The sequence below is a fragment of the Homo sapiens genome, chromosome 1 (genome assembly GCF_000001405.40).
Source record: "Homo sapiens chromosome 1, GRCh38.p14 Primary Assembly".
In the NCBI taxonomy this organism is placed as follows: Eukaryota; Metazoa; Chordata; class Mammalia; order Primates; family Hominidae; genus Homo; species Homo sapiens.
The window spans coordinates 143,570,374-143,578,185 of NC_000001.11; the positions used below are offsets into that span (position 1 = coordinate 143,570,374).

At 46.0% G+C, this 7,812-nt stretch overlaps 1 long non-coding RNA gene across 1 annotated transcript; it reads left to right on the forward strand.

Moving 5' to 3' along the window:
• Nucleotides 1-316: 316 nt before the first annotated feature.
• Nucleotides 317-2,648, forward strand: LOC112268273 (uncharacterized). The gene is made up of 3 exons (XR_002958621.2): nt 317-381; nt 685-731; nt 2,461-2,648. It is a non-coding gene; the product is annotated as an uncharacterized LOC112268273 (long non-coding RNA).
• The last annotated feature ends 5,164 nt before the right edge of the window (nt 2,649-7,812 follow it).

Genomic DNA, 7,812 nt, shown 5'->3' on the forward strand with positions numbered 1-7,812 from the left:
AAGCTAAAGGTGTGTAGGCCTGTGCTAGTCTGCATGGGGAATTCCAGAGTCTCAATACTCCTGCCTAATGGCCTCATCCGAAACTGTCCTCAGCTGGAAGTATTCGAGGCTGTGAAGGAGGAAATCCATTTCAGGAGAGTGGAGAAGATTGTAGAATCCTTCTTTGAATTGGAAAGAGCCACAAAGCACAGGGTGCTTTAGGCCTTCTGCCTGTTCAGTAAGAGTCTGTACCTCTTATCAAGGGAGAATTGACAGAAAGGGAACTTCTGGAACTGAGAACCAAAGTATCCAAACAGGAGTGGCTCCTTCAAAGCATAGCTGAGCATCTGAAGACCGCCAACCAGCAGAAGGAGAGCATGGAGCAGTTCATCATCAGCCAGCGTAGGTTCCCTGAGAGGGAATGGGGGAAGAAACAGGCAGTCTTCCCGATGCCCCACTTGTGCTGCAGATGAGCAGTGACCAGGGGGGCTTGGGGATGTTGGGAGTTGAGACTGATTTGATGTCCCCAAACCTCCTGTGCCATGAGCAATTGTGGATGCAGAGGAGAGGAGGATGGGGTGGATAGCAGGAGACTCCAAGCTGAATGGCCAGAAAGAAATAAATGCTTTAGAATTCTCATGCTAAGCAAGTAGGGTTAATTTTTGCTGGTGATTTCTACTCTGTGGTGCTCTTTTGTTGTTTCAGTAACCAGAACACATGATGTTTTAAAGAAGGCAAGCACTAACTTAGAGGTAAGGAAACTACTGCAGCAGTCAGAGGCACCAAGCCTGTCCCCAACCCATTGCCATCCGTTAGCATATCTTGTAGGTGACCCTTGGCCTGCTTTGGCCTTCCAGGAGAAGATTTTGGGTCCACTTGCAAGATCACAGGTCCTCAGTGAGCATCCTGCTAATTTCTGTTCCCATCACTCTCTCACCCTGTCAGCTCCTGCCCCAGTATTTTGGTTCACTCTCACATTGTCGTCATCTCTCCTTTTTACTCCAATTTTTCTTCTTTGATGCCAAGTCAGGAGACTGGAGAAATGCAATTCAGCTCACTCTCAAAGTCATTAGACATCCGGAAGTCTGCCTCTGAATGAGCTTTTGGTAGAGGGATCTTGAGGCCAGTTATGTGGTCTAGTCTTCATGAAAAAGTAAAAGCAATTTGCAACCTAATAAACTGATTTCACTGCACACTCCTGTGTTAAGAACAGCAATTTGATTTTGATATATCTTTAAGAAACATGACAAAAGAGATCTGTTGGGTCTCATTGGTCTAAAAGAGAATTTGTTAATAAATAACAACTGAATCTTAAGGGGAAAAATGTTATATATGTACCACATATTCTCTACATTTACTTAAAACACTAAGTGTTAACCGTTCCCTAGGAAGTGCTTTGAAGAAAAACTTGAGGTATATGAATGGTTTAAAAATCAGAAACTAAACCTTTTAACGTGGACTTCAAAGCTTTGCCATAAGCAATTGAGCATATTCCTAGAAATATTTCTAAACTGTAACCTGAGAGAATGTTGATCTCCATAGTGTGAAAATAGTGTGAAAATGACTTGGGCCAGTTTAACTTGCTCTTTTTTTTTTTTTTTTTTTCACTAACTCCCTTTTGTTTTTCTCTGATAATTCTTCTCTTTCCTAGGCCTCTTTAGAGCAACACTTACAGGATTGCCTCTGTAAAGCCTTATTCCTGTCCCAGGAAAGGTAACCCAAAAAGTCTCTTGTATCCACTAAAAGGTAACCCAAAAGTCTCTAGTATCCACTGGCTTTCTCCAGTGTGGAAGCTTTCCCCTCCACCTCCCATAGATCACTGGAAAGGACCCGAGGCCTCGGTTCTAATCCCTGGCTTATCACTAACTGCTGTGTGGCCTTGGCTTGTCCTTTAATCTCTATGAGACTGCTGCACCCTTATCTGTCAAAGATGGAACTGGACTTAGTTGAGCTCTGAGGTCCCTGTGGACTTGGCCCCTCCACACCCTCATTGTGGCAACTGGACATAAACTTAACAGAGGACCCCCCTGCAAAATGTCCTCTTCTTTCTACAACAGGCTGTTTCTGTATGTGCATGTTTCATGCTAAGCACTTCTTTCTTGGGTGGACTTGGCAAAGCCCTCTTTCTGCTGAGACAGTGATTTGGAGAGTCACCTGGCCCCTGAAGAGGGAGTGGTAGGATCCAGCCACCCAGTGTGCAGTGAATCGGAGCAGGGATCTCAGCACACAGGGAGGTGGGGAGGCTCCCCCTAACCTCAGGCACCTGTTGTTCTTCGAGACTGCAACGCATGCTCTTAGCTCATCCTCTTAACTGGCTCTCACCGTGCTCCTGTCTTTAGTCACCCCATAGCTCTCACTCCAGCTTCAGGTAGCCATCAGTAGGGCCTGGCAATATACACTGATTTGGTTTGTTTTATTTTTGTCTGCAGGTGAAATCCCTAAGAGCTCTGCCATGTACTCCTTGTGACCCTTGCCTTCCAGGAACCATGCAAGAAGCGCAGCCACCAGAAGTCCTTAAAACAGCAGGAAACGTGGGCCTGTCCCCCTTTTGTGCAGCTACCTATCTGCTGAGGAGCTTCTGGGCCTCATTCCTCCAAGTCCACGGGAGGGTCCAGAAGAGGGGGTCAGAGATGTATCCTGGTGGAGCTGGGAGAAAACCAGAAAGCCTTTCTGACAGCTATGGAATACCGTTAGCCAAGGTCCACTTGGCCCAGCACTAAGCAAAAGATGCGTAGTTTGCATAGAAGGTTTTGTGATACTGCTTCCCAACAGCCCCAGCAGCTTGGGAACTAGCAACAACACATTTCTTGCCTCATCAGCTGTCCTGAGATGGAAAACTCAGTGGATATAGGACCCTGATTACGATGAATGGGGCACATGGTCCCAATGCTGGAGCTCCTCTGGCAGGTTCTAAAAGCACACTACTGAGCAGCGGTGCCCTGCTGGACACTGCTGGCAGGGGCTCAGTGAGCACTACTCACAGATCCACACCTGACCCTGTTGGGTCCAGTCAGACTGGGCCTTGGTCTGCACTGTAGCACCTGTGTTCTTTGAGTTCACATCATGAATGTGACTTCCCAGATACCATTTCAGGCTTAACCTAGCACATCCTATTTCTTTTCTTCTATGATATCCAAATTGGACTGACCTCACTTCAAATACTCTGTCCCATTTTGTCACCCTGTCTTACCTCAGGGAAATTGGGGACTGATGGCCAGACCAATTCTGTTGAAATTCTTGCATAGAGCAAACCTGTGCTGATTTTTAAGTGGCATGGGAGAGGCCCCCAGCCACAGTAAAGCCTAGTCTGTGTCTTCACAGTGTTGATAGAATCTGCTTGTGTGTATAAATGTATGATATAGATTTACATATGTTGCTATCGCCATATATTGAAGGCCAACATAACTGGTGGACAGGGTAGGTGAGAGAAAATGAAAGTCTTTTTGGTGATTATTAAAGCAAAATGTGTATAAAGAAATAAATAGTTTTTCTTTCACTGCTTTGTTTCCCATTTCTGCACCAATCCCTTGACAGTATAAAGAACTGGAAAGAGAAAATGGGAAAGACAAACTGTGTTTAAGAAGTGCATAGTCTAATGCTTGAACTCTGACTTTAAAAGATTAAGGTTTTCCTTCTTTGTCATTTTGTAAGAATCCTCAGTCTGAAAATATGAAAGAATGGTTCTTAAACTTGGTGTACCTTAGAAGCAGCTGTGAAGATTACAGGAACTACCTCCTGGTCTCCAATCCCAGGAGATTTAGTTGGTGTGAGCCCTAGAATCTGCATTTTTTAAATATAAGCACCCCAGGTGATTCCATTACATGTGGGCTGCAGATCACAGTTTAAAAAAACAGTGTTCTATAACATTGAATCAAAACTAAAACTACATTTAAGGACCTTGAATCAAAAAGTATGTCATTCCATTAATATTTGTATAAAAATTTTAAAATATTCCTTGGGAAAAGTCCCTAGCTACATGCTTTTGATCCCCAAGATTAAAATAAAGCTATCACTTCACAATTATTTACTAGAAGCATTTAAAAAATAAACAGGTAGAAGGTGGAGTAAGATGGTAGAATAGAATTCTCCAGCAATGGTGTCTCTGAAGGAACATCAAATTGAACAACTATCTATGTAAGAAAACAATTTCACAAAGGCTAATCAGGTGAGAGATCATAGCAGCTGGTTTTAACATGATAACAAGAAAAGATGCATTGAAGAAGGGAGGACGGACACTTTTCCATTGCCTATGACACCTCTCCCCCAACCACAGGAAATGCATCTCCGAGAGAGAATCTAATGGCTTGGGGACAAGGAGGAAAGTGTGGGACTTTATATTGAAACTTAGTACCAGTCTTGCCATAGTGACACATGGCACTGGACAAAACCCCACAGCACTTGATTCCAGGCTGGTGCCCACAAAAGAAGCATTTAGACCCACTCTGGGCCACAAGGGAATCAGATGCCCCAGCAGGAAGAACCCACCAAAGTTCTGGCCGGCTTTATCTCTGGAAATTTATTGGGCTACAAATAAATTTCAGTGGCAGCCAGGCTGTAGTTCAGAGGTGACAGCATGCTGGCAGCCCTCACAGCCCTCGCTCACTCTCGGTGCCTCCTCGGCCTCGGTGCCCATTCTGGCCGCACTTGAGGAGCCCTTCGGCCCGCCACTACACCACGGGAGCCCTTCTCTGGGCTGGCTGAGGCAGGAGCCGGCTCCGTCGGCTTGTGGGGAGGTGTGAAGGGAGAGGCATGGGTGGAAACCGGGCTGTGTGAGACACTTGGGGGCTAGCTGGAGTTCCGGGTGGGCATGGGCTTGGCGGCCCCGCAATCGGAGCGGGACTTAGCACCCTGGGCAGCAGCTGCGGAGGGTGCGCCGGGTGCCCCAGCAGTGCTGGCCCACCAGTGCTGTGCTCGATTTCTCCCTGGGCCTTAGCTGCCTCCCTGCGGGGCAGGGCTCCGGACCTGCAGCCCGCCATGCCTCAGTCCCCCACAGTGGGCTCCTGCACGGCCTGAGCCTCCCCAAGGAGCGCCGCCTCCTGCTCCATGGCTCCAGGTCCCATCAACCGCCCAAGGGCTGAGGAGTGCGGGTGCATGGCGTGGGACTGGCAGGCAGCTCCACCTGCGGCCCTGGTGCGAGATCCACTGGGCGAAGCCAGCTGGGCTCCTCAGTCTAGTGGGGACTTGGGAGAAACTTTATGTCTAGCTAAGGGATTATGAATACACCAGTCAGCACTCTGTATCTAGCTCAAGGTTTGTAAATGCACCAATCAGCATCCTGTGTCTAGCTCAGGGTTTGTGGATGCACTCTGTATCTAGCTAATCTGGTGGGGACTTGGAGAATCTTTATGTCTAGCTAAGGGATTGTGAATGCACCAATTGGCACTCTGTATCTAGCTCAAGGTTTGTAAATGCACCAATCAGCACTCTGTGTCTAGCTCAGGGTTTGTAAATACACCAATCAACACTCTGTATCTAGCTTATCTAGTGGGGACGTGGATAACTTTTGTGTCTAGCTCAGGGATTGTAAAGGCACCAGTCAGCACCCTGTCAAAACAAACCAATCAGCTCTCTGTAAAACAGACCAATTGGTTCTCTGTAAAATGGACCAATCAGCAGGATGTGGGTGGGGCCAGATAAGGGACTAAAAGCAGGCTGCCCAGCCAGAAGCGGCAACCTGCTCAGGTCCCCTTCCACGCTGTGGAAAGTTTGTTCTTTTGCTCTTTGCAATAAATCTAGCTGCTGCTCACTCTTTCGGTCCACACTGCCTTTATGAGCTGTGACACTCACTGCGAAGGTCTGCAGCTTCACTCCTGAGCCAGTGAGACCACCAACCCACGAGAAGGAAGAAACCCCGAAGACATCCGAACATCAGAAGGAAAAAACTCTGGACACGCCACCTTTAAGAACTGTAATACCCACCGTGAGGGTCCGTGGCTTCATTCTTGAAGTCAGTGAGACCAAGAACCCACCAATTCCAGACACATAGTGACTGCAGTCCTTGGGCAAGCCCTGAAGCTGCATAGGTCTGGAAGACCCTAGACTTGAGGTGTAAGCCAGTACGACAGCAGCAGGGCAGCAGCTATGGGAATGTCTGTATCACCCCTCCTCACACTCCAGGCAGTGCAGCCTGAAGAGAGATTCCTTTTGCTTGGGGGAAAGAAAGGGAAGTAAGCTAGAGGCTTTACCTAGGAATGTAGAGAACAATCCCTGAACTTCCCCAAGTCCACAGGGCTGGGGACCTAGGAATCTATAAGAATTGCAGTGTACCTGGGCTTTGAATGCCCTGTAGTATAAGAATGGCTGCAGTGATCACTGGCTTAGGGAACTCGTCAGCCCACTTTGAATTCCTGGAAGGTCCTCTGAAGGACAGGTACAAACAAGACCTGACTGCAAAGGCTGGAATAAATACCATATTCTCCAATGCCCAGATATTGACCAACATCTACAGTATCAATAACATTTAAGTCAATATGACCTCAACAAATGGACCAAGTAAGGCACCCAGTGACCAACCCTGGAGAGGTGGAGATGTGTAACCTCTCAGGGAATTCAGAATAGCTATTTTGAGAAAGCTCAATGAACTTCAGGGAAACACAGAGAAGCAATTCAGAAATATATCAGAAATTTAACAAGGATACTGAAGTAATAGAAAAAAATCAAACAAATCCTGGGCTGGAAAATGCATTAGTGGGTCTCAGTAGAACTGATCAAGCAGCAGAAAGAATTAGTGAGCATGAAAACAAGCTATTTGAAAATACAGTCAGAGGAGAAAAAAGAAAAGAAGAACGAGAAGGAACACAGAATGCTTAAGAGATCTAGAAGAGGGCCTCAAAAGAGAAAATCAAAGATTCATTGGCCTTAAAGAGACGGTTGAGAAGGAGCAAAGAGTAGAACCCTTATTCAAAGAAATAATCTTTTTTTAAAAAATACTTTAAGTTCTAGGGTACATGTGCACAACGTGCAGGTTTGTTACATAGGTATACATGTGCCATGTTGGTTTGCTGCACACACCAACTCGTCATTTACATTAGGCATTTCTGCTAACGCTATCCCTCCCACAGCCCCCCACCCCACAACAGGCCCCAGTGTGTGATGTTCCCCTCCCTGTGTCCATGTGTTCTCATTGGTCAATTCCCACTTAAGAGTGAGAATATGCGGAGTTTGGTTTTCTGCCCTTGTGATATTTTGCTGAGAGTGATGGTTTCCAGCTTCATCTATGTCCCTGGGAAGGACACGAACTCATCCTTTTTATTGCTGCATAGTATTCCTTGGTGTACATGTGCCACATTTTCTTTATCTAGTCTATTACTGATGGACATTTGGGTTGGTTCCAAGTCTTTGCTATTGTGAATAGTGCCACAATGAACATAGGTATCCATGTGTCTTTATAGTAGCATGATTTATAATCTTTAGGGTATATACCCAGTAATGGGATTGCTGGGTCAAACGGTATTTCTAGTTCTAGGCCCTTGAGGAATCACCACACTGTCTTCCACACCGGTTGAACTAATTTATACTCCCACCAACAGTGTAAAAGCGTTCCTATTTCTCCACGTCCTCTCCAGCATCTGTTGTTTCCTGACTTTTTAATGATCGTCATTCTAACTGGCATGAGTGGTATCTCATTGTGGTTTTGATTTGCATTCCTTAAATGACCAGTGATGATGAGCCTTTTTTCCTATGTCTGTTGGCTGCATAAGTGTCTTCTTTTGAGAAGTGTCTGTTCATATCCTTTGCCCACTTTTTGATGGGGTTGTTTTTTTCTTCTAAATTTGTTTAAGTTCTTTCTAGATGCTGGATATTAGCCCTTTGTCAGATGGATAGATTGCAAAA